Genomic DNA, 26,729 nt, shown 5'->3' with positions numbered 1-26,729 from the left:
TGTGGCTTGTCCCGGCATGTAACAAAGGCAGAAAAGAGAAAAAAAGGAAAAGGGGTGGGGGGGGGGTGTGGATTACTATGAATTAAAGAATAAAGGATTGGTCAGGCTATTTGAAGAGAAACCTCATCATATCCCACAGCTAGGATGTGTTAATTTCCTATTAGACATAAACAACGTCACAGAATACCAACCTCAAACAAGCCTACCCTGAGACTGTGGTAAAATGAGTCAAAGCAAGTCCAGTTTGTCATTTTGTCTAAGAAGAGATAAAAGCAAGGTCGCTGTGTCACCCACAAAATACCAAACACCCCCTCTCCCAGCCAAAACGAGTGACTGCTACTTTACCAATTACAATTTTATCCTCTTTCTAATTGTCCCTCTCTACACATAAGATTTATTGAGATACCCAATCACAGAATTGTTGTACTCCTGAAAGTACCCAATTCAGGGTATGCCCCTGCTTCCTTCGACACCTCCTAAATCACCCAACCAAAGCCCAGATCTTATAATAGGTTGTCACACATCTTACTGAGACACGCCATAATTACGCTGGTGTATGTCTTCCCTGCCTGCAACAAGAGATAAGCCCAACTTGTTCAACTCTAAGTGTCTTCCTGGTAGCCTTTGGCTGGAGGGCACTGCCACCTCTGCGCCATATACAACTTTCCACTCCTTGAAATCCTCTTCTTCCTTGGCCTGTAGACATCATTCTCTCCTGGTTCTCCTCCTATTATTTTTTAACAACTTCCAATGATTTCTACTTCCTGGTATTCATGTCCTTGTGTAATCCCTTCCCATTGAGTGTGGGCTGGTAGTGACTTGCTTCAAATGGACAGAATACACCAAAAACAATAAACTGTCCCTCGTGAAGAGCAGGTAGCAAAAAGACTGGCTTCTGTCTTACTTGCCGTCTCTTGCTTTCTTACCTGCACACTCTTGGTGGAGCTAGGTGCCATATTGTGAGCTTCTATACGGAGAAGCCCATAGTGTCAAGGAACCCAGGTAGCCTCCCGGCTACAGCCAGTGAGCAACTAAGGCCATCAGTCCAAGCCTTGTAAGAACTGAATCCTACCAACCACCATTTGAGTTATGTTGAACTGGATCTTCCCCTCATCAAGCCTTGAGAGAACTCTGATCCTGGCTGAAACTTTAATTGCAGCCTTGGGAGAGACTTTGAAGAGAGACATCCAGCTTACCTGTGCTGAATTCCTAACCCACAGAAACTTAAGATAGTAAATTTTTGTTGTTTCAAGTCTCTAAATATTGGGATAATTTGTTATGCAGCCATAGATAACAATTACAGATCTCCATAATAGAAAGATAATTTTTTCCACAGCATAGATTTAGCTGTATCACTGACATAAACTCTTTCACAGTTGACCACTGCCTCTAGGGTAAAGGCTAACCTGATCCGTGATATATATCCTTTGCTTTAGTCCCAATAAACTGCTTATAGGTCTCAGAACATGCCAAGTGCACTCTCTCTGTGACTTTGACTTCACTGTTGACTTTCCCTGGATGTAAGTTTTCCCAAGAGCTCCCACACTAGAATTAACTGTTCTTCCTCTGGGGTTCCAAAGCCCAAAGTAATGGAGGCAGGAAAGGTATAGAAAACCCACAGAAATGAGGAAATAAAGAAAAAATACATTTAATAACACAAGAGACAGCAGCTAGAAGAATGATGGCAGAAATTCAATGGCCCCAAAAAGAAGGGACAGTGCACTGCAGCAAAGGGTGGGCTTACCCACAAAGGGGATGGAAGACATCCTTTGTGAGAGAGTCAGTCTGATCCTTAGGTTGGGAGTTATATTTGTAGCTGGGGGGAATGATGGTAGAAGCCTTAGGTGAAAGAATGCCATTGATATTTTCGCCCAATCAACATAAGCAGCCTGAGGCACAGGCAGATGCCTAGAGCCCTGCTCCCGTGTGGGTGCCCATCATGCAATAGCCTCTGGGTACATTTACAAATATTATTTTTAGATGTCACTTTTGGCTCTCAGAACTTTTGGCTATCAGAGTTACTTTACTCTCCGCCCTTAAATTAGGTTTCTTCCCTGTGGAATGTCAGGGGTTCTGTGATGAAACCATATCAACTGTGCTCAAAATTGTTATTAAATTTCCTTTTCAGAATGTTGTTTTTATTTTTCCTGGTTGGGGTGGCCATTTGGTGTAAAGAAATGAATAAGGGAAAAACCTTTGCTAAAGACAGCAGCTATGAGAAATATTTAACAGTATGCAAATTCAGCAGGCAGCTCCCCAAATGAAAGAGAAGGGAGGGGGTTTGTTCTACCCTTAAAAAAAGGAAATGCATTAAAATGCAGTCATTAACTAGTGGAGTATTCTAGAATTGGCAGTTACCTACTGAGATTTTGGGTTAAGTTTCTCTGGGGGTATAACAAAATTGTACATCCTCATGGGAAGCAAGAAGAGAGGAGGACTTGGAGCAGTGGAGCACGGATCTTAGCAGAGTGGAAAGAAAGGAAAAGAAATGCCTTCCCGGCATCATTCTGATGGAAGATGGGGAAAAGCTGCCTGTGGCAGAAACAGGGAGAGCAGTTCTGCCTGCCAGGGTTAGCCAGCGGCCATGTGTTACTCATTTACTCTGCAAGAGTTTTGATGCCAGCTCCGGCAAGTTTGAAAGAAGCACTCTAAGCCCTGTTTAGGATGTGGGTAGTTAATTACAGTGACAATACATTGAAAGGGAATAAGACAGCCATGTATCTTGGCTGTCACCGAACCACAGATTTTTAGGACCCAGAATAGGCCTTAGCACTGATAATATTTATTTCTTTGATCATCAAAGGTCATAAAGAGGCTTTTAAATATGAAAGGCATGCTAATATTTTATATGGTTTATGAATTTCTTGAACTAATGTATATGAACACAGCGTTGTCATTTTTGCTTTTATTTATATTGCTTGCCTGTTTGCTTGCCTGCCTTTCTCTCTCTCTTTCCTTCTCTTCCTCTATCATCTAGGAACCCTGCCAGCGTTCCCAGGAGCCGCAGGACCCCAGAGATGTTCCCAGCTGCATGATCCCGGGCATCAGCTGAGGGCAAGTCATCCTCTCTAAGGCTTTGAGTTGTGCAGGCTCCTTGGCTGCCTCAGCACCTCCCTCAAAGCAAAGTCCTCCCACCTTGGAGTTCAGCCCATCAAGCCTTCCACCTACCCAGCTGCCTCAGTCACCATCAGAGTCCATGTCTGAATATCACCACCACTGGCTGGATTGTTCTGAATATTCTCTAATCTAACCTCATTCCCACCCATCTCCATCCTCCCAAATTATTCCAAAATGTCCCTTTGCAATTCATAGTTCATCATCAATAAAGTCCCAGTGTATCTTCAACCTCTCACCTAAATATTCCATTCCGCTTCTTGCTCTAACTCGGGAGTTGGAAAACATTTTTTTGTAATGGGCCAGATAGTAAATATTTTAGGCTTTGCAGGCCACATCATCTCCATTGTCATTGTTACTTGAAAGGGGTCCCAATCCAGACACCAAGAGAGGGTGCTTGTATCTTGTGCAGGAAGGAATTCAGGGTGAGTCTGTAAAGTGAAAGCAAGTTTATTGGAAAAGTAAAGAACACAAAAGAATGGCTACTCTATAGGCAGAGCAGCCCCGAGGGCTGCTGGTTGGTTATCTTTATGGTTATTTCTTGATCATATGCTAAACAAGGGGTGGATTATTCATGAGTTTTCTGGGAAAGAGGTGGGATTTTCCCAGGAACTGAGGGTTCCTCCCCTTTTCAGACCATATAGAATAATTTCCGGGTGTTGCCATGGCATCTGTAAACTGCCATGGTGCTGGTGGGAGTGTCTTTTAGCATGTGAATGTATTATAGTTAGTGTATAATGAGCACTTTTGTCACCATCTTGGATTTGGTGGGTTTTGGCCAGCTTCTTTACTGCCTCCTGTTTTATTGACAGGGTCTGTGTGACCCGTATCTTGTGTGACCTGTATCTTATGCCGACCTCCTATCTCATCCAGTGACCAAGAATGCCTAACCTCCTGAGAACGCAGCCCAGTAGGTCTCAGCCTTATTTTACCGAGGTCTTATTCAAGATTGAGTCATCCTGGTTCTAATGCCCCGACACAATTACTTAATTTTGTTATTCTAGCACAAAAGCAGCCATGGAAAATATGTGAACAAATGAGTGTGCCTGTGTTACAATAAAATGTTATTTACAAAACCTGGGGGTGGGCCACACTTGGCCCAGGAGTGGTGGTTTCTTGATGCCTGTTCTGAGGGAAACCTGTCTATACCCCAAGGATTGTGCTTCCCACAATGTTCAGGTGAAGGTTGCTTTTCCCCCTTAGAAACTTCCTAGATCTGAGCTATCCATTACCAATCTCTTTGTTATCTCCTCTCATTTTTTGATGAATTGAACACTTGAATCACTTCGTTTTCAACCCTACCATCATTCTTGGAGATTTCAGAATTTAATAAATGTTCCATCTAACACCCTGGTCATTCAGTTCCTTATCTTTTAGAGCCAATAATCTCTTATTCCATCTCACCTCAACCACCCACTCACAAAGCATGCCCTAGACCTTGTTATCACCAAGCACATTCCCAATATTATGAGTGCAAACATCTTATTTCCAGCAATTACCTCCTATCCTTCAGCACATCCAGTCAGCCTACCTTACGAGTTCCCTGAATTTAATGAGACCTCCGAGCCACTGGCCCCTACCTCTCTGTCATGCCCTGCTTCCTTCACATCCTCATTTCTCTCCTGGGCTTGATGATCCAGCACCATAACCTCTCCCTGGAAAACATGCAGCGCCCTATTGCCTTTTCAATCTCCTTATCATATTCTGACCCTGGCTAAGCCTAGATATCCTCTAAATCTGTACCTGCTGCAGAGCAATTCAGTGTGGCAGCAAAGACTCACACAACCACACTGACTGGACTCACTGGGCACAAAATACAACAGGGAGCATAACAGACTGAAATCCCCATTCTGGTGGAGCTATCATTCTAGTGAGAGAAAAATAGACAATAAGCAAGAGAAATCATTAAAATATATAGTAAGTTAGAGGACGATAAATGCTAAAGGCAAAAAAATAAAGGAGGGAAGAAAGTAATGAAAAGAGAGGGAGATGGGAAATTTTAGATAAGGTGGCCAGGGAAGGCTTGCTGATAAGATAGCTTTTGGGCGAAAACAAGAAATCAGTGAGTACAAAACCATGTGTACATCGGAGGGAAGAGCATTCCAAGCTGAGAGAACACAAGAATGTAAAGGCCTTGTGATGGGCATGTGCCTGGCTCTTTTGAGACACAGCAAAGAGACCTGTGGGCTCAAGCAGAGTGGATGAAAGGGTAGAGTGGAAGGAGATGTGATCAGAGAAGTAGTAGGACTGCAGTAGTTATTTATCACTGCATAATCAGTTACCACAAACTGGGAGGCTCAAAACAATACCCATTGATTATGGTCTTAGTTTCCATGGGTCAGGGATTCATCACAGGGCCCTTGGCTCAGGTCTCACAAGGCTGCAATCAAGATGTAGAGTGGGCTGCAGTCTCACTGGAGATTCAACCAGGGAAGGTTGTCTTCTAAGTTCATTCATGTTGTTGGCAGAATTCACTTGCTTGCAGCTATAGAATTGAGAGCTTTAAGATTGTTTTACTGGGTGTCAGCCAGAGGCCACCTTCAGCTTCTAGAGGCTGCACAGAATTTCCTGCCACATGGCCCGCTCCATAGGCAGATAAAAACATGGCAGCTTGCTTTCTTAAGGCCAGCAAGAGAGGGAGAGAGTCTGCTAGCAAGAGGTAATGGTAGATAATGTAATCAAAAGAGTAACCACCATCATTTTGCTGTATTCTATTGGTTAGAAGGCAGCCATGGATTCCACCCACACTCAAGGAAGGGGATCACACAGCAGCATGAACACCAGGAGAGAGGATCATGAGGCCACCTTACAGTCTGTCTTCCACAAGGACTCATCACCTAGGGATATATGCCCTTGTAAGGACTTTGGCTTTTTCTCTGAGACTGGGAGCCATTGGAAGACTTTGAACCAAGGAATTACATGCTGTGATTTGTTTTAACAGGAAACAAATGGAAATAGACTCCCACAGGCTGAGGACAAAAGCACAGGATCAACTAAGATGCTATCCAGGTGAAAGTGGATGAGGGTAAGTTTGGGATGGTGGCCATGGAGAAGGAGAAGCCATGTTCTGAATATATTTTGAAAGCCGGGCCAACGTGATTTGTTACAGGTTGGATGTAGAACATGAGGAAAAATGAGGAGTCAAGGTTTATCTCAGATTTTTGTGCTGAACAACTGGAAGGATGGAGTTGCCGTTATCTGAGGTGGGGAAGATTGAGGGAGAATATCAGGGGCCCTGTTTTGGATACATTTGAGCTGCCAGCCATTTGATGGCAGATAAGTTATGCTACGTACACTCAACCCTGGAAGGAGGAGTGATTCATCTTTAATGGAACTGCCATCTATACCAGATTTGGGTTTGCATTCCACACCTGCAGCACATCTGCAAGCATTACTGCTTGAGCGCTGAGTGCTTCATTTATAGGCATCAGATTCCAGATTCCACGGTATTGCCTCAGAGGACCCATTTATGGCAAAGGAAGTATGAGATACAGTGGTTCTCCTTATACTTCCCATTACCTGGAAGCAGTAAGAATGTTGGAATGACATAGTAAAGGTTCCAAAAGGGTGTGAGCTTGGGGATGCTGTCTTTCAGGATGGAGTCTATGCACTGAGCTACTGGCTGATATAGAGTGTTGTGTCTCTGACAGTCAGACTTCATGGGTCCAAGAATTAAGGGGTAAAAGAAGGATTGGCCCTTTCAACATCACTCACAGTGACTCACCAATCTTGCAAGTCTAAGCTCCAATGGATAGAAAATTCTTGTTCTCAGCAGAACATTGCTTCAACCTGGGCACAGTAAGATGTCCATGGAAACTAAAGCAAGTCTGAAGCCTGGACAATTTGGTCTCTTCAAGAGGAGATAACAGCAGGCAAAAGAAGTTTCTATATGAACATGGGAAATCAATTCTATTATCATGAACAGCTACTTATTGTTCCTGCTACTATGCAACCTGGAGGACCATATCTGGAACCCAGGGAATTCATGGGGGCATCTCATAAGTGCTCCAGGATGGGTGAATCTGTGAAAAAGTCGACCCAATGTGGACATAAGTAGAGCTGAGATCTGCAAGAGATTGGCCAGCAGACATGGGCGGTGCCCCACATCATGCCCTGCCACCCACCCTGATTTCAGCAGCAGGTATGGCAGACAGTTCTTGTGTATGTGGCAGTATGTGACCTCCAGTGCCTTCTGCTTCAGAACTTTCTCTGAGGTTGCACTAGCTCACTCAGCTGAGGACATGTGGTTGGGAAAGTAAAGGGATTTAATGTCTTCAGAAGCAACCCCAGAGCAAGAGGTGATGGGAATGATAGAGAATGTCCAGGCTTCTATGTTTTGGTGGGATACTTTTCTGCATGGGTCCTCAAGGGTTTTCTAGTGGGACATGAGCCTCAGGTGCCCAGAGCAGCAAACAACTCAATAACATACATTGCATTGGCTTTGGCTTTTATTCCTTCCGTTCCTCAAACTTTCCCTCCTTAACTTCTGCCTCTCGGGATCACCACCCAAATCCAGCTTAGGCGCTAGTCTCCCCTGGCCTGTGCTGTGTGGACCTTCACTGACAGAGGAAGTCCTAAAGTCTACCGAGTCTGCAGCACAGCTCCCAGGAGTCCCTGGGGCAAGCCTAGGGCTTCCATGGACAACAGAGCCCAGGGCTCTGACTCCTTCTAAATCCCAATGTCTTCTTTATTTCTAAGAAATGCCCTATCCACAAAGGGTCATTTCAAATGATAACTTGTTGTTTTAGGTATGCAGTTCAGTGAAAATCTGCATCGATTAGAAAAAGTTTAAGACTTCTTCCCGACTAGAATTGAAATTGCACCCCCCAACTTTCCTAGTCCTACCCCATATGGTCAAGTCAAAAGTGATTTAAAGATAAAGATATCGCTATCTTTAAATCATTTTTAACTTGAATTTGATGCAAATAAGGCAGCGCATATTCATGTATTGTTTTATTACTTTCATGCTAAAGTTCCTGTTTCATTTATATGGTTTCCACTCAGAATGGGCATCTCCTAAAAGAGGAACTAAGTTTGTATAAGCTTCTTTGCTATGCAGTTAGATGCATTATATATATATATAGAGAGAGAGAGAGAGAGAGAGAAATTTTATGCCACAGGTGAAATTGTTTCTTTCTTTATTTGAGGATGAGTGCTCCTTCTGTCCATTGAGTTAGATTATGGATAAATTCATCACACATGAAAAAGAAATCCTTTAAAATTATATGCATCTTTCCTGATCTAAATCAGTTCAGAACTATCATTTTGACAAATGTCTGAAAGTTTTAACAGACCTAATTTCCCAGAGGTCAAAACATGGCAGAAAGAGGAATGAGATGGAGGATATTTGGCTAATGGCTTCACAGGCTGGAGTGGGAAAATTGAGAGCGTCATATACCATGATGACATAGAAGTGCCCATCTTGCCATACTTCATCCCAGCTCAGATATCATAAAAAAGTGCCAGCTTTTATCAGCTCTCTAATGGATTTGTTAGCAGTTCACGCAAGGGAGTGTCCCTTCTCATGATCTTCCTTTCAAAGAGTACATTTATTTTCTTCCTAATTGTGCTCCATCATAAGAAGGAAACTGGTTTATAGAGCAGGGTGTCCTCTGATCAAAATGAAATTAATAAAGAATCAGAGGATTTTCCCCAGGGTATTCCAATAGCCTCTCCAACTAAAACAGCTTCTGATAACTGACAAGGATCATGCAGTTTTATGATCAGAGTCCTCTGCCCTGGCTCAGCTCTTCATCTCACGTCTTTGAGATATCATGCCAGGTTGCTGGATGTCAAAAGGGAGAACAACACCAGGCTTCACATCTAAACGGTCCTTTTGTCCACCTGTGAGCACAGATTATCTGAATTAAGAATGGTGCACAGCTATGAGAAATGTATTTTCCTTATAATGCAACACCCTGATTGGGGTAATTAAACAACAACCATTAAAAGTACTTTTCCAAATTCTGTTTTCCCCCTAATTTAATGACACAGATTTATTACTTAGCAGACATATCTATAAAACAAACATGGGGTTCATTTATTAATCAGTAGAAGGATGTGCTATTGGGCTTTGGCTGTTAGTTACATTTAAAAACCACAAAGATTAAGGCAATGAAAAAATACACTGTATTTTATTTGTGTTAATGTCAAAGCACACTGATGAATTGAGTTTCTCAGGCTGTACAACTGAGGAAAACCTTATGTGGGATGAGGGGCTCTTGCTGAGATTAGCCTTGCTGAGATGAGATCCTATTTGCCCTGGATAGATGCTCTCACCCTGGAAGAAGAGAGAGGAAGATGAGAGAAGCATCTTCCTCCAGCATAGAAGGCTCTCACCTCTCTGTCACAGCAAATTAAATCACAGAATTTGCCTTGCTCATATTTTAGAGCCCGCTGCAAGTCTCATCTTCCCCTAAACCATATTCAGATAATTCATTCAGTATTCTCTTTCTCTGAACATTTAAACAATTATTGTCCCTAGTATCTGTTCTAGCACTTAATCATTTGCTATTTTGTATTATTTAACAGTTTATGCATTTATGTCTCATTTCCTTGTTCAAATTTTCTTTTTTTTCCTTGTTCAAATGTCTAAGCTCTTACAAAATCATATCTACTGAGCCCAGGGCTGGGAAAATAACAAAAACTCAATAGTAGATGTTTGAATGGATAGATGAATCAGGATGGATCCAGACTGAGAAATGGGGTGGCATCAGTGTGTGGTGACTTCGCCAGTTAGGAATACTTCTCAGTCTACTCTGAGAATGACTTGGAGAACTTTGTACTTTGAGACCATCAGCAGTTAAGGAAGATACTGCTATGGACAGGAGGCAAGGAAATACTGGGTAGAAGAGGGTGGTTCCCTGGGAAAGGCCCCACCCCCAACACTGGAAACCCTCAGCCCTAAATGGGAGCAGCCATTCCTGTTTGTGCATCCATATGTTGCCTTTTGACCTGCCCTATCCTGCACCCATATAAACCCCAAACCCCAGGCTCCATGAGCAGAAGAGCAGAGGAGCAGAAGAGCAGCACAGCAGAGAAGGAGAGAAGAGAAGGAGCATCTGAAAGCTGAGAGTAATTTGGCTGGGGACGGTTGGAGAGGAGATTGTCCATGGGGCAACCAAACTCCAGGGGCAGATCATCTTCCCACTCCATCCCCTTTCCAGCTCCCCATCCATCCTGCTTAGAGCCACCTCCATCTGGCATTAAAATCCCCCACATTTGCCCTCCTTCAATTTGTCTGTGTGACCCAATTCTTCTTGGATGCCAGACAAGGACCTGGATACCAAGAGGGCACTGAGTTGGTTAATACTTAAGCCGTCTGTGGATGGCAGAGCTAAAAGAGCACTGTAATACATCCACTGGGGCTTTGGGAGTTGCAGGCATCCACCCCTAGATGCTACAGTGGGGCCAGAGCCCAAAAGTGCTCCCCTTGGCTCTTGCACCTGCCCGTCTGCGTGCTCCCCCTCCCATAAGGGGTTGAGTGCACAGCGGCCAAACAAAGCCACACCCACCGCATGTCCTGTGAGGGAGGTCAGGGAACTCTCCCATTTCAATACTACACAGGAGTTTGGTTACTGCCCTGAGATGATATTGAAAAGACTTACATTCAATATGCTCTGGAAATGAATTATAGGACGTCATTAAAAGAAACTGATTTACTTTTTTTCCAATTTGGGAAATACAAATAACATGCATAATGTTTTCTCTATTGTATTTCTCATCTTTTTAACGGATAAAACAAAATTCAAAAGAGCAGGAGTTCAGATATCACTAACTTTCTGCCCAAGCCATCACAACAACTTGTATCAGTGAATCCTTTCGCCATTTTGTTACTTAGAATTCTACTAAGGTTGATGCAGGAATTCAAAAAGTCTTTATTGTTGGGGAATCACACTGGTCTCAAAACTTCAGCCTTTTAAATATTTATTCTTAATCTCAAATCCTGTGGCTTTCTTTGTTTTAGCCAAATTACATACATTCTCCTAATGACAGTAATCCCATTCCCCCTTATCCTCAGGGATACATATGTTCCAAGACCCTTCCCCATGGATGCCTGAAACCTTGGATAGTATGGTACCCTACATATACTGTTTTTTTCCTATACATGCATACCTATGATAAAATTTAACTTATAAATTAGGCATAATGAGAGATTGACAACGATAATAATAAAATATAACAATTATAACATTATACTGTAATAAAAGTTATGTGAGTGTGGTTTTTCTCTCTTTCTCTCTCTCAAAGTATCTTAAGATTTTCCAACCGTGGTTGACCTCAGGTAACTGAAGGTACAGAAAGCAAAATCACAGATAAGAGGGCACTACTCTATATGTCAATTTAGTTTTTAATTATTTTTTTAAAAAATGAAAAACTCTTCAACAAGCAAATATTATCAAATGAAATATTCAATAGCATTTTTATTTTAAAAAATCTGGAATTTTGTTTTTAGAAGATGATACAATTTTTGATTAAACCTCATATCCGGTCTGGTTCCATTTCCTGAAACACCCCTAAAGTTGCTTATAAACGATTTTAGGGGACTTTACATATTTTGATTGATTACTTGATGAAGAGCATCAAATATTCACCACATTATTATGGTTAAAACTTATCTTGAAAAACAGCACTTCGCTATATGGCTCCTGTTTCAATCAGGTCTTTTTTAGCTTTGGCCATCCACATTCATTCTGCTTCCAGAATCCATAGACTACAGCCCACAGGCCATATCTGGCTACAGTCTATTTTTGTATGGCATGTAAGCTAAGAATAACTTTCACATTTTTAAATGGTACAAAAGAATCCAGTAAATACTATTTTGTGATATATGGCAATTATATAAAATTCAAATTTCGCTGTCCATAAATCAAAGTTGTTTTTTTTTTTTTTTTTGAGATGGAATCTCGCTCTGTTGCCCAGGCTGGAGTGCAGTGGCACAATCTCGACTCACTGCAGCCTCCGCCTCCCGGGTTCAAGTGATTCTTCTGCCTCAGCCTCCCGAACAGCTGGGACTACAGGCGCCTGCCACCATGCCCAGCTAATTTTTGTATTTTTAGTAGAGACGGGGTTTCACCATATTGGCCAGGCTGGTCTCGAACTCCTGACTTTGTGATCCACCCACCTCGGCCTCCCAAAGTGCTGGGATGACAGGCATGAGCCACCGCACCCAGCCAAATGAAAGTTGTAATGAAACACAGCCAGCGTATCCATTTATATTTTGTCTATGGCTGCTTACATACTGCAATGCCGAGTTGGGTAATTGCAACAGGGACCATACGGCTCAAAAAGCCTTAAGTATATGATCTAGTCCTTTACAGAAGAAGTTTGACAACTCCTGCTCTGTTCTGTTGATTTTTTTCAGGCAGATAATCCCATCTGCCTCCCCTTGTTTGCCGCCCCCAGCACTAGTTACCTTTAAGCCTGAGCTCAGCTGCTCACACTCTGTGGAGCTTTTGTTCATATTGTAAGTCCACACTGAGTTTTCCTTTTCTTAATGTCAATAAAGCTGTTCCCAAACAGATAGGCTGCAACCCGGGACTCGTGGTAGCCAGCCCTTAAGATGGCCCCAGTGTGCTAAGGTTGGTGTTGGTGACCAGAAGAATTTAGAGAAAGTGATTGTCATTCCTGAGATTCCATTATAAAGACACTGTTGCTTTCATTTTGGTCTCTGTCTAGCAGTCTCATGCTCAGATGTCTCTGCTTGGGGAAACCATGTTGTGAGCAAACCAACAGTGGGGGCCGTGTGGAGAGGAAGCCTCCTGCCAACGCCTTGCAAGTGAGCTTGCAAGTGGATCCTCCAGCCCGATGTCAAGAATTCAGAGAGTATGGCCTCAGCCAACAGCCTGAGAAACCCTGGCCCAGACCATCCAGCCGGGTCATCGCAGATTCCCAACCCTCAGACAGCATATAAGAAAATAAATATTTGCTCCTTTAAGCAGCTAATTTTGCAGTAATTTGTTATACAGCAATAGATAACCAACACAGACCTCAGCCAGTCTAGTATTGTCTACTGGGGCACTATCTTTCTTCCTTGGTCTGATATCCCTAGTCTGTTTCTAATTTTTTTGGTTTTTTTTTTTTTTTTGGTTTTTTGAGGCTCACTGCAGCCTTGAACTCCTGGGCGGACTCAAGCAATCCTCCTGCCTTAGCCTCCCACACAGCTTGAACGACAGATGCATGCCACAATAGCTGGCAAATTTTAAGAATTTTGCTATTGAGATGGGGGTCTCAACATCTTGACCAGGCTGGTCTCAAACTGCTGGTCTGAAGCCATCCTCCTGCCTTGGCCTCCCAAAGCTCTGGGATTACAGGCACAAGCCACCATGCCCAGTTTGTTTCTGGTCTTTTTTGAGGTGTGATTTTCTTTCTCTTTTAAGACCCTGCCTCACCTGTGGGACCTGGCTGATTTTCTTTTTTTCTTTTTTTTTTTTTTTTGAGACGGAGTTTGGCTCTGTCGCCTAAGCTGGAGTGCAGTGGCGTGATCTCCTCTCACTGCACCCTCCACCTCCCAGGTTCAAGCAATTATCCTGCCTCGGCCTCCCGAGTAGCTGGGACTACAGGCCCACGCTGCCACGCCCGGCTAATTTTTTGTATTTTAGTAGAGATGGGGGTTCACCGTGTTGCTCAGGCTGGTCGCGAACTCCTGAGCTCAGGCAATCCGCCCACCTCGGCCTTCCAAAGTGCTGGGATTACAGGCGTGAGCCACTGCGCCTGGCCGGTTGATTATTTTTTCTTAACTTTGACCTTTTGCTTTTCTCCTCCGCTAGGATCCAGCCTCTCCCCTTGGTTGTTGCAGTCCCTGACTGAGGCTTTACAGCCTAGCGCAGACTCCTCGGTTCTCTCCAGCCCCAGAATAGGAATTCAGTTCTAGGCTGTGGATTTCAAATGTCAGATAGCCATTGGTGTCGACGTCTCTTGATTAATATTTTAAATACGAAAACAAGGCAAAAAATTTCCCAGGGGAAAATACTGCGTTTTTGAATGTGTGTTTTTGAATATTCTTACTATTAATAATATCATTGTCATATTTTAACCTTTCACTTGAGGAACATAAGGATTATAAGAACATGTAGAAGCATGGAGGAGATTTAGGAAATCTGACTTATACCTGATAAAAATGAGGCCCCTGAGGTTATGTGAAGTTCCCAAGGTCACTCAGCGCTACGAAAGAGCATTTCAGTGGAACAAGTATGTCAAGGATAATGGAAGCTGAGAAAGGATCTTTTGGGGAGGTGGGTGGGGCTTCCCTGAGGACGGCTATCATGCCTTTCTGTATGAGTGAGTCCTAGTCCAGTTACCACAGGCTGGACACCGAATGCAATGAAGCAGCGATATGACTCGAGATGCTGTTTCTTATGTTTTTATGTTACTTTTAGGTATGACACAAAGTCTGGATCAAATAGCAGCTACTTGGCTGGGCACAGTAGCTCACGCCTGTAATCCCAGTAATTTGGGAGGCCGAGGCGGGTGGATCACCTGAGGTCAGGAGTTCGAGACCAGCCTGGCCAACATGGCAAAACTCCTTCTCTACTAAAAATACAGAAATCAGCCGGCCGTGGTGGCAGGCCTCTGTAATCCCACCTACTGGGGAGGCTGAGGCAGGAGGATCGCTTGAACCAGGGAGGCAGAGACTGCTGTGAGCTGAGATCGCGCCACTGCACTACAGCCTGGGTTACAGAGCGAGACTCTGCATCCAAAAAAAAAAAAAAAAAAAAAAGCAGCTGCTAGACCCGAGTGCCCAGCCTCCATAGGAAGATGTAAGAGTCTTTTCTGACGGATGCTTAACTGTCTGTTTGAGTCTATGAATCTGCATTTCTTCCAGTGCTACACAGAGAAAATAAGGCCTAATCAAGTCTGGGGAGGAAAAAATTCAAAACACGCTGACAGAATGTCTAGGAATTGGACAGAAAATGTACATAGTGAAAGGATTGGAAATGAAATGGGGTGGGGGAGAGGAAAGGATGCTCTAGTGTTTTATTCTACACACTTTATATTTTTGAATCTTTTACAGTAAGAATGTATTTGAGTATTTCTTGTATAATTTTTACAAGGGTTTACGAATTTTTACCAGAAAAGTAGGCCTACTGGTCGTAACCATTTTAGAAACTGAGTTTAAAAGTGGAATTTGTGAATGTGTATGGCACATATGGAGCTGAAATAATTGTCCCTACCGAACAAATAAGCACGGGTTGATGACTGCTATCATACAGGAAGAAGCTAAAGCAACCTATAAATCAATCCACATGTCTTGATAGAAGTGAAAATCAAAGGCAATAAATTCAACACAACCAATCCCGGGAGAAGAAACGGGGTTAAAAGTTATGGCTTAAGAGATTTGAATGAACTGTAATGAAGGGCTTCTTTATGGTAGAGCTATTAAGAGCAGGGAGGAAATTTAGTAACAGATTATTCAGGCAAACTGGGACTCTTTTCCCTTGGACATTTTACAAATGGAATTAAAAAGCACTTGTTTCTGACTAATTAGGAATAGTTCAGCTTGCGGGTTGAATTAGTTATTTCTATTTGGTTACAGAGAGGAAAACTAATAGCGACTTTGGTAGTCACAGTCAACGTGCAATCATTTTAAAATAAAATAAATTTGGAGATAAATCTGTGTGTTTTAACTGCCTAAATCCTGGAAAATAAATTGAAATTTAAAAGGGATATTCCTTATAAATATCTCTACTTTGTCACACACCTATGGTTCAAGTTCAGATCTTCACATCTTTTAAATGTTTTAAAACTTAGTTATAATTTTAACTTTAAAAATAATGGACACTTTTTTTTGAGATGGTGGGGTCTCACTATGTTGCTCAGGCTGGACTTGAACTCCTGGGCTCAAGTGATCCTCCTGCCTCAGCCTCCTGAGTAGTTGGGACTACACATCTGTGCCACCACACCCAAAGACACATATTTTTGTGTGATTAAAAGAAAAAGGTAGATACGAAAGCTATAAAGAAAAAAAAGAAGTATTTCCAGTCAATAATATCCTGGAAAGCTTAATACAGTAACATCTTACTATTTTGGACTAGTTCAGAGAAAAAAACAAAGGATTTTATTTTAAATGATTTTAATATCTGAAGGTAAATATTACGCATAGCACAACTAGGATTAAAAAATGGTTGTTTTTTAATGAACAAACAAGTTATATGACTCCAAAAATATGTAAGGCAAGCTTGCTTTTATAAATATTTTAAGCATTTTATGTTGATTAAGCTTTTAATTCATACTAACAGTAAAAGAAAACTGACTTGTTGAAGAAAATCAACCCCTGTCTACACTTAATCACATTTTTCAAATAATGGACTCTGTACTACTGTGGTTTTACTTCCTTGTCTTCTTTTTCCCTGTGAAGTGACAATCTTAGTTTCTGACTGTGGAATTAAAAGAGGCAGAGACAAAGGAACCGGAGCAAACACTGTGCGTAACTTATGCAACGAGAGCAACAAACCAAAATGCCAGCAATTAAATACTGAGACTAGTTTTCACACACGATAAATTATTTGGCATAGGTGATTTGCTTTAAAATTCATCCCTCAAGGAATATATTTATCACTTTCCAAATGTTTATGTCCAGGTCAAGAAAAGCTACAGGATAAAGGAAACTTAAGTTAATCCAAATATCATATTGAAATCCCACCTTTAAAAATGTTAGAAATTATTATTTCATTTATTTATTTATTTATTTATTTATTTATTTATTATTTTTTTTTTTTTTTGAGATGGAGTCTCGCTCTGTCGCCCAGGCTGGAGTGCAGTGGCGCGATCTTGGCTCACTGCAAGCTCCACCTCTTGGGTTCACACCATTCTCCTCCCTCAGCCTCCCGAGTAGCTGGGACTACAGGCACCCGCCACCATGCCCAGTTAATTTTTTTGTATTTTTAGTAGAGACAGGGTTTCACCATGTTAGCCAGGATGGTCTTGATCTCCTGACCTCGTGACCTTCCTGCCTTGGCATCCCAAAGTGCTGGGATTACAGGTGTGAGCCACCGCGCCTGGCCTAGAAACTATTTAGAATAATGCCTGTATTCATTTGAGACATTTTCCAATCCTTTTTTTGTATTGTGATTTTTAGATATGATATTAACTTTCCTGTTTAATTTGCTTTAGTTTATTTTAAATTATTAGTTCAGTAGCCATAGTAATATTTAAGGATTAAACTATATAAATCATAGGATTATGAATAAATTTTTTCTTTTATCCTTTTATATGTTTTCTGACTTTTAAAAAAGGTAATGTGCACCTATTATTTTTGTAATAAGAAAGAAACTCCATGTTATGGATTTAAAAATATTGATTCAGAACCTTGAACCTTTCCAGGACAGGGGAACTCACTAGATGTGCCACACTGAAATCCTGTCTTGAGAGAGATTTTGAGGATTCTGTATAACCATCTTCCCCAAGTCATGAGGTAACTAGACAGGATGGGAAGGCTCTACACAAGAGTGAGCCCCCAACCTTTATAGGGTATGCCTTGGAAAGCCAGAGATCACTCCTCCATTTCTCAGAGACTCCATGAGCCAGGAAAAGGAAAGATCTGGCCAGGTATTACCACCATCATCCCCTTCTCCTCCTCTTCCTCCCCCTCTTCCTCCTCTTCCTCCCTCTCCTCCTCTTCCTCCTCCCCCTTCCTCCTTCTCCTCTTCCTTCTTCTCCTCTTCCTCTTCCTCCTGTTCTTCTTCCTCTTCCTCCTCCCTCTCTTCCTTCTTCTCCTCTTCCTCCTCTTCTTTCTCCTCCTCCTCCTCTTCCTCCTTCTCCTCTTCCTCTTCCTCCTCTTCTTTCTCCTCCTCCTCCTCTTCCTCCTTTCTCCTCTTCCTCCTCCTCTTCCTTCTCCTCCTCCTTTCTCCTCTTCTTCCTCCTCCTATTCTCCTCCTCCTCTTCCTCCCTTCTTGTTCTTCATGAGATGAGAATATTTTTTTAATTCTATTGGAAAAATAACATAAGCAAAAAATTATATATGTGTGCATTTATCCTTCCATCCATCTGTTCATCTATCCGTTTGTCCATTTATCCATGTATATTGGTTGCCTCGAGGAGGGGGAACTGGGTGGTTGCTGGGGAGGGAGGAAAATTTACTTTCCACTGTATACTCTATTGTAACTTTTGACTTTTCTGCCATGTTCATGTAATACCTATTCAAAAAAATAATTTCCTAAGGAAAATTACAACATGAGACAAAAATTTTTTTCAGAATAATGATGTAAGAAAACCAGCTAAGATAAAGTTATAAGAGGACTGTTGTGAGCGCTTCCTTTACACATGTAGATTTATTTACCCCTACCAGGTGGGCACTGTGAGCAGCACCTCCACTTTACAAATAGAAAATGGGAGAAACTAAGTACCTGACTATATACACACACACAGACACACACACGGTTTTGTTATTGCCAAATAATCTTCCAAATTAATTGTGTAAGATTCTCTCTTCCCCAAATTTGCATAAGTATGCCAGTTTCCCCATACTTTTGGCAATACTTTTATATTTTAACCACTGAATAAACCAATATACATCAAGTTCTATTAGACATTAGCCTTCCCAACTAGATTTAAACAAACAAACCAACAGAGCTGCTCACAAGTAGTGAAATTGACTTACTAATGATTTACCTCAAGGTTTCTACTGACAACTCAGTAATGATATTAATAGCTAATGAAATCTTCAGTAGCAAGTTACCCAGCTAGATGGAGAAGGATGAGGGACAAAAGGTTGGTGACACTCCACTAACACAAGAGACCAGGACTCCTTTATGTGCTCCTATTGCAACACATGACTTTCTCCCATGGCACTTATCACTGGTTTAACATTTTCACTTGTGTGTATGATCCCTTGATTTGTGAGACCTAGAATTGAAATATCCATCTTTTCCAGTAGATCATGAGCTCCATGAGGGCAGAGCATTGAGATTTTGTTGGTCATCTTATTCCTGCACCTGTCCCAGGGGCTACGACAGGTCTAGACAGATGGATGAGAGTTTCAACTTTATCCTGTGTATCCATGAAGGCTCTTTTGGTTGCAGGTGCAGAAGAAGTCATCCCCATAATAGACAGTTACATGTCACATAGTTTGAGAAAAGGCTAGAGTGTGAGCCCATTAGAACCCTTGAGTTTGACTCTCCTTGGACAAATACTATGGCTTTGTTGACAAGTGGGTTTCTCAGCACTCTTGAAACTAGCTTTCTAAGTTGACAACTATATTCAACACCACAGAATACTTTGCAGTATTGTAACCCCTTTCTATGACGAGATATTCTTAGGAGTTACTATGATTAAAAAATCCATTGCAGGCTGGGTGCAGTGGCTCACACCTGTAATCACAGCACTTTGGGAGGCTGAGGCCAATGGATTACTTGAGCCCAGGAGTTCAAGACCAGCCTGAACAATATGGTGAAATATCGTTTATTAAAAAAAAAAAATTAGCCGGGTGTGGTGGCATGTGCCTGTGGTCCCAGCTACTCAGGAGGCTGAGGTGGTAGGGTCACCTTAACCAGGGGAGTCAAGGCTGTAGTGAGCCATGAACACACCCTGAACTCCAGCCTGGGTGACAGGGTGAAACCCTGTCTCAAAAAAAAAAAAAAAAAAAATCCATTGCCAACAGAATAGAGAACCCAGAAATAAAGCTGCACACCTACACCAGTGCACACCTAGTCTTCAACAAAGTTAACAAAAATAAGCAATGGGGAAAGAACTCCCTATTCAATAAATGGTGCAGGGATAACTGGATAGCCATATGCAGAAGATTGGAATTGGACCCCTACCTTTCACAATGTACAAAAGTCAACTCAAGATGAATTAAAAATTTTAATATAAGTCTTCATGCTATAAGAATCCTAGAAGAAAACCTGGAGGCCACCATTTTGGACATCAGCCTTGGCAAATAATTTATGACTAAGTCCCCAAAAGCAATTGCAACAAAATCAAAAATTGGCAAGCGAGACCTAATTAAACTAAAGCGCTTCTGCACAGCAAAAGCAACTATAAACAGAGTAAACAGACAACCTGCAGAATGGAAGAAAATATGTGCAAACTATGCATCTGACAAAGGTCTAATATGCTTATAGATTCTTATAGATTCTGGATAGAATCTATAAGGAACTTAATTCAACTAGCAGAAAACAACTAACCCCATTAAAAAGTGGGCAAGGAACATGAATAGACATCTCTCAAAAGAAGACATACAAGTGGATGACAAACACAAATAAAACTTTCCACATCACTAATCATCACAGAAATGCAAATCAGAACCACAGTAAGAAACTGTCTCACATCAGTCAGAATGGCTACTACTTAAAAATCAGAAAAACAGGCCGGGCATAGTGGCTCATGTCTGTAATCCCAGCACGCTGGGAGGCCGAGGTGGGAGGATCATTTGAGGTCAGGAGTTCGAGACCAGCCTGACCAACATGGTGAGACCCCATCTCTACTAAAAGTACAAAAATTAGCCAGGCATAGTGGTGCACGCCTGTAGTCCCCACTACTAGGGAGGCTGAGGCAGGAGAATCGCTTGAACTCAGGAGGTAGAGGCTGTAGTGAGTGGAGATCATGCCACTGCACTCCAGCCTGGGCAGCAGAGTGAGACTGCATCTCAAAAATAATAATAATCATCATCATCAGGAAAACAACTGATGCGGGCAAGGCTGCATTGAAAAGCAAACACTTATATACCATTGGTGGGAATGTAAGTTAGTTCAGCCACTGTGGAAAGCCATTTGGAGATTTCTTGAAGAACTTAAAACAGAACCACCATTTGACCCAGCAATCCTATTACTGGGTATATATTCAAAAGAAAATAAATCATTCTACAAAAAAGACACATGCACTTGTATGCTTATTGCAGCACTAGGCACAATAGCAAGATATGGAATCAACCTAGGTGCCCATCAACAGTGGATTGGATAAAGAAAATGTGGTACATATGCTCCATGGAACACTATGCAGCCATAGAAAATAACAAAATCATGCCCTTTGCGCAACATGAATGTAGCTGGAGGCCACTATTCTAAGTGAATTAATGCGGGAACGGAAAACCAAATACCTCATGTTCTTACTGTTAAGTGGGAGCTAAACATTGGTTACTCATGGATGTAAAGATGGCAACAATAGACACTGGGAACTACTAGTAGGGGGAGGGAAGAAGGGAGGCAAGTGTTGAAAAACTAACTGTTGGGTACTATGTTTAACACTAGAGTGACGGGATCAGTTGAACCCCAAACCTCAGTATCCTGCAATACATCCATGTAGCAAACCTACATATGTACCCCCTGAATCTAAAATAAAAGTTAAAAATATTTTTTTAAAATCCATTGTCTTTATCACTACTCCCTTCCCTTCCCCACGTTCCCATTTTGTGGATCTAAACTTTGAACCTAGCAGCCAGTCAAAGAAATGGAGTTAAATAGTCTCCTTGCTTCTGAATGGTGAATGCTCCCCCTTCCCTCCAGTATTTAGCTGTTAGTAAATAGCTGGATCTTACCTTAAACTTTAAGTCTGTGTTCTTTTTTTTTTTTTTCCAACACATAGGTGTTATGCTTTAAATGTGCTTCCTGGAGTTCATGTGTTGGAAACTTAATCCCCATTGTGACAATGTTGGGAGGTGAGGCGTAATGGAAGGTGTTTTGGTTTTGAGGGCTCAGCCCTTATGAATAGATTAATGGCATTATTAAAAAGGATGGCCAGAGTGGGTTTGCTCTCTTGTGCTCTTGCCCTTTCAACCTTCCAACAGCAAATTGCCCCACACAAGATGCCAGCACCTTGATGTTGTACTTCCCAGCCTCCAGAACTATGAGCCAATAAATGTATGTTGATTATAAATTACCCAGCCTCAGGTATTGTGGTATAGCAGCACAAAATGGACTACAACAATAGGTGATAGAAAACTCAACACACGCTGGCTTAAATATTAGGACCATTAGTTAACTCATATAACTGACTTAAATGTTGGCTTAAACTAGTAACTCAAACTCATCATGGAGCTGGCTTCTTTCCATTTCTTCTCTGCCTTTCAAAATGTCAACTTCATCTTAGAGTGGACACCAATCATGTTGCAATATAGCTTCCAGATGCTTGCAGGACAATATATATCTCTGCTGGAGTGGGGGGCCTTTCTATTAATTATATTAATATAATATATCTCCCCAAGGAGTAGGGGGCCTTTCTATTAGTCACGAAAAAAGAGACTTTTCTTACTTGAACCAAATAGTGAAGATATTCTTTCAGGGTTTATCCCAGGAATTAGAAGTAGAATCAGTACCACCAAAACCACGGGGGTTTTGGTAAACGCTGGAGAGGCTGCCACAATGTCCTCTAAGTCAGTAATAGCTGTTATAGTATTCGCTAAAGTTTACTGAGCACATCCTGTTGGCCCAATGTTAGCTTAACAGTTTACACACATTGTATTATTTAATCATGACAACAAACATGACAAGTAGGCATTACCATCCCCATTTTACAAATGAGGAAATTGGAATATGTCCAAGGTTGTACAGGAGGATTCCAGAGATAGACTGAGGACTACAATATCCAGTCCATGATTAAAACAACCTCACTACACAGTAAGAGTTATGGAAGGCTTTTGAAGGTGGTGTGGTATGTGTAAAGCAATGATTTAGGGCCCTCAAAACCATCCCATTAGACCTCTAGATAAGCCATCCAATTCCCTTATAAAACCAATTAAACCACATTTACACCCCTGCAATGTATTAGTCTTCTCCACTCTCCCACATAACCCCCTACCCCTTACCCTCAAACAGGCATTTTAAAGTACGTAAAGTATGAATTTTTTTCACCATAATTTGCAACAAGAAGCATTAGATACAAATCCGATTTAGTTAAAAATAGGGATAAGGTATAGATAACATCCAGAGACTCCACTGTTAACTTGAAACATGAAAAGAAGCAAAACCTAAGTAATCTGTCAAATTATAAGACATAATTGATTTACTTAACACACCCTCCCGTGATTCTCTGGATTCTACTTCCTCCTGCCAATTCAGGGAGTCTTTTCCTGTAATGGTAATTATTCTCTCTCTTCCATTGTTGGTTTTCCTTCTGTTTTAGATCATTCTCATCAGCATAAAAGAATGCTACAATTTCTCCCACTACAAAAAGCACCTTGAACCCTGCCCCCTTCTTTTCTGGGAAATGACCCTTTTCTCTTCTTTCCTTTACAGTAAAACACCTTGATAGAGTTCTCTCTTCAACCTGGTCCCAACAGGTCTCCCTGCTCCTTGGGGACCGTTCTGATGAGGGTCACCACTGTCCTCCCAGTGCCAAGCCCAATGATCTGTTCTCAGTCCTCATTTGACCTTTTGGAAACATGACACAGTGACCACTCCATCCTGCTTGAATCATATTCTTCACTTGGCCTCCAGGAAACCACATTCTTGGGTCTTCTCCCACCACTTCTTCTCAAGTTTCTTTCCTTGGCATTCCTCCTCATCTTCTTGACCTCTAAGTGGTAGACTGCCCTGGGGCTCCATTTGAAGCCAGACCCCTTTCTTCATAGATTCATTCCCTGAATGGTCTTGTTCACTTCCGTGGCTTTAAATACTATAGGTGGGTGTCAGAATACATCCAGGTTGCTATAACAAAATACGTTAGGCTGAGTAACTTATAAATAATAGAAATTTATTACTCACTGTTCTGGAGACTGGGAAGTCCAAGATCATACCACCAGCAGATGCTGCTCCTGGTGAAGGTTCATTCTGGCTCATAGATGGTGTCCTCTCACTGAATCCTCATATAGTGGAAAAGGCAAACAAGCCCCCTTGGGCCCTTTTATAAGGGCACTAATCCCATTCATGAAGGTGGAGCCCTCATGACTTAATCGCCTCCTAAAGGCCCCACCTGTCAATACTATCATATTGGAGAGTAAGTTCCAACATATAAATTTTGGGGAGATCATAGCAACTGACAACTCCCCCATTTATATCTTCAACCTATACCATCTCCCTGAACTCTAGATGCTATATCCAACTTCCTACCTGACATCTCCACTTGGATGTTTAACAGGCATCTTCAACTTTACATGTCCCAGAAAGAATCCTTAGTGTACTTCCCCCAAAACCTGCTTCTTCCAGAGTAATCCACAACTCATTTTTTCAAGTTGCTCAGAAAACTTGTGATCATTTTTGGATACCCATCTTCCCCCTCACAGCTAAAATAAAATTTATTAGTAAATTTTGCCAACTTGACCTCCAAAACACACTTCAAATATGGCCGTATCTCTGCTACTATCATTCTAGTCCAAACCACGTCATTCTTTCTTGGCTTCCTGAAACAAACTTCTCTGGTCTCTCAGCTTTCATTCTTCCTTCCCTAGTCTATGCCTCACATAAGAGCTAGAATAAATACTTTTAAATGACACTTCTAGACATAGAATGCACCCACAACTTCCTCACCTCACCCAGAATTAAGTTCCCATATTTACATGGTACAGGAGGACCAATATGGCTTGTCCCCTTGGTACCTCTACCACTTCATCCTCTGTATGCCGACCCTTGCTCATTCAACTCCAGCCCCAATGAATCCCTTGCTGGAAAGGACACTTCTGGCACACTCCTACCTCTTGTGTTTGCAGTTACTGTTCTGCTTCCTAAATGCTCTTCCTTAGATGTTCACATGGTTTGCTTCTTCATTTTATTCAGATTTTGCTTGACTGTTACCTTACCAATGTGGCCTTCTGCTCACTGTAACTGAAATAGTAATGACTATTCCCCCAGTCTCTGTTCCTCTTTATCCCCTTATCTAGTTCTCTTTTCTTCACCTGATGTGATTTATGGTGTCGTATTTGCTTATTGTTTGTCTCCCCTCCACTAGCATTTAAGTTCCAGTAATGCAGGGACAGCTGTATTCCAGGAGTGTAGAATAGTGTCTGCTAGGTGCTGGGTGCTTAAGATGTATTTGCTGAATGAAAGAATGAAGGAATGAGTGAGGGACTTGGTAGTTATCCCCCTTTGCTTTGTGCATCTATTCAGTGACAAGTATCTGTAGATTCTTCAAAAGGCCATTCATATCTCTCTCTTCCTTTCATTTTCATGACCACAACCTTAGTGGACCTCCCACCTGGAGTAGTGAACCTCCCACCTGGAGAGGGATCTCCAGTCTTTGGTTTCTACTCAGTCTACCTCTCAAAAGGACCCTGAACACTGATATTGTTAATAGTCCTAAAACCACTTTCACCTAAAGCTGATTGCACTCTCTATAGTGAAATCTAATATTTGAAAAGCCCAGTTACTCCCTATTGACTCTTTTTTTTTTTTTTTTTTAGACAGGGTCTCATTCTGTGGCCCAGGCTGGAATGCAGTGGTATGATCACAGCTCACCGCACCCTTGACCTCCAGGCTCAGGTGATCCTCTTGCCTCAGCCTCCCAAGTAGCTGGGATTACAGGCACCCACCACCACACCCAGCTAATTATGTCTTTTTCTTAATGTGTGTTCTTGGTGCCTTTGTTGAAAATCAGTTGGCTGTAAGTACATGAATTTATTTCTGGATTCTCTATTTTGTTCCTTTGGTCTGTATGTCTATACCAGGATGTTTTGGTTACTATTCCTTTCTAGTATATTTTGAAGTCAGGTAGTGTGATGCCTCCAGCTTTATTCTTTTTGCTCAAGATTGCTTTGGCTATTTGAGGTCACAAAAGATCACATGTAGCCAAAAAAATCTTGATCTTTTGGGATTCTTCACAAATTTTGGGACTGCTTTTTCTATTTCTGTGAAAAAATGTAATTGGTATTTCTAATAGGAATTGCATTGAATCTATAGATCACTTTTTTTGGCAGACTGTTGGCATGTAGCAGCACTACTGATTTTTTTCAGCGTTGATTTTGTATCCTGCCACTTTACTGGATTTGTTTATTAATACTAACTGTTTTCTGGTGGAATCTGTATAGGGTTTTCTATATATACGATCATGTCATTAGCAAACAGGGAAAATCTGACTTCCTCCTTTCCAATTTCGATGCCCTTTATTTCCGGTGCCAATTATCTTTTAATCTGGTTTTGTTCCTTCCCTGTGGTAATCAACTGGGTTATTTGTTAACCAAGTCATTCAATATGAATATTAGTCAGAATAGACTAGTTTATGCTGTAGTAACCAAACAACCCCCAGATCTCAGTGGCTTAAATAGAACAAAGGTTTCTTTCTCATTTGTGCCACTTACCCAGTGCAAATAGGCAGGGAGCTTGTATCTCATAGTCTCTCAAAGACCCATGCTGAGAGGTGCTATAGCACCTCATATGGGCACTCTGTGGTCACGGCAGGTGGGAAGGTGGGAGGGTGGAGCGCTGACTTCGGGTTTTAAAACCTCAAATCAGATATGACACTCATGATTCCCATCATGTGACACTCATGATTCCCATCCCCATTCACATGGTTCCACCTATCTGTAATGGAGCTGAGGAATGGGAGGGCGCATGGCTATCAAGCAAAATATTTACATCATGAATAACTCAGATATTTACACAAACTGATAGTTACCTAGAATGGACTGGAAAGTAAATACATTTTAAGCTGTATGATGTTTCCTGCAGCTGAGAGATGTCATATAATTTGTTTGTATGTCTTCTTACTGTGATTTAATTTAAGGTGAAAGTTCAATTCAATGCCAAACCATA

At 41.7% G+C, this 26,729-nt stretch overlaps 1 long non-coding RNA gene across 1 annotated transcript; it reads left to right on the top strand.

The window, feature by feature from the left end:
* The first annotated feature begins 5,645 nt into the window (after positions 1-5,645).
* LOC105371976 (uncharacterized) lies at positions 5,646-13,059 on the top strand. Its single transcript, XR_007066274.1, has 2 exons — positions 5,646-7,255; positions 12,793-13,059. It is a non-coding gene; the product is annotated as an uncharacterized LOC105371976 (long non-coding RNA).
* Positions 13,060-26,729: the final 13,670 nt, after the last annotated feature.

This window comes from Homo sapiens, chromosome 18 (genome assembly GCF_000001405.40).
Source record: "Homo sapiens chromosome 18, GRCh38.p14 Primary Assembly".
Taxonomy (NCBI): domain Eukaryota; kingdom Metazoa; phylum Chordata; class Mammalia; order Primates; family Hominidae; genus Homo; species Homo sapiens.
The sequence above is the reverse complement of the archived record's forward strand: the minus strand, read 5'-3'. Positions and strand labels throughout refer to the sequence as shown.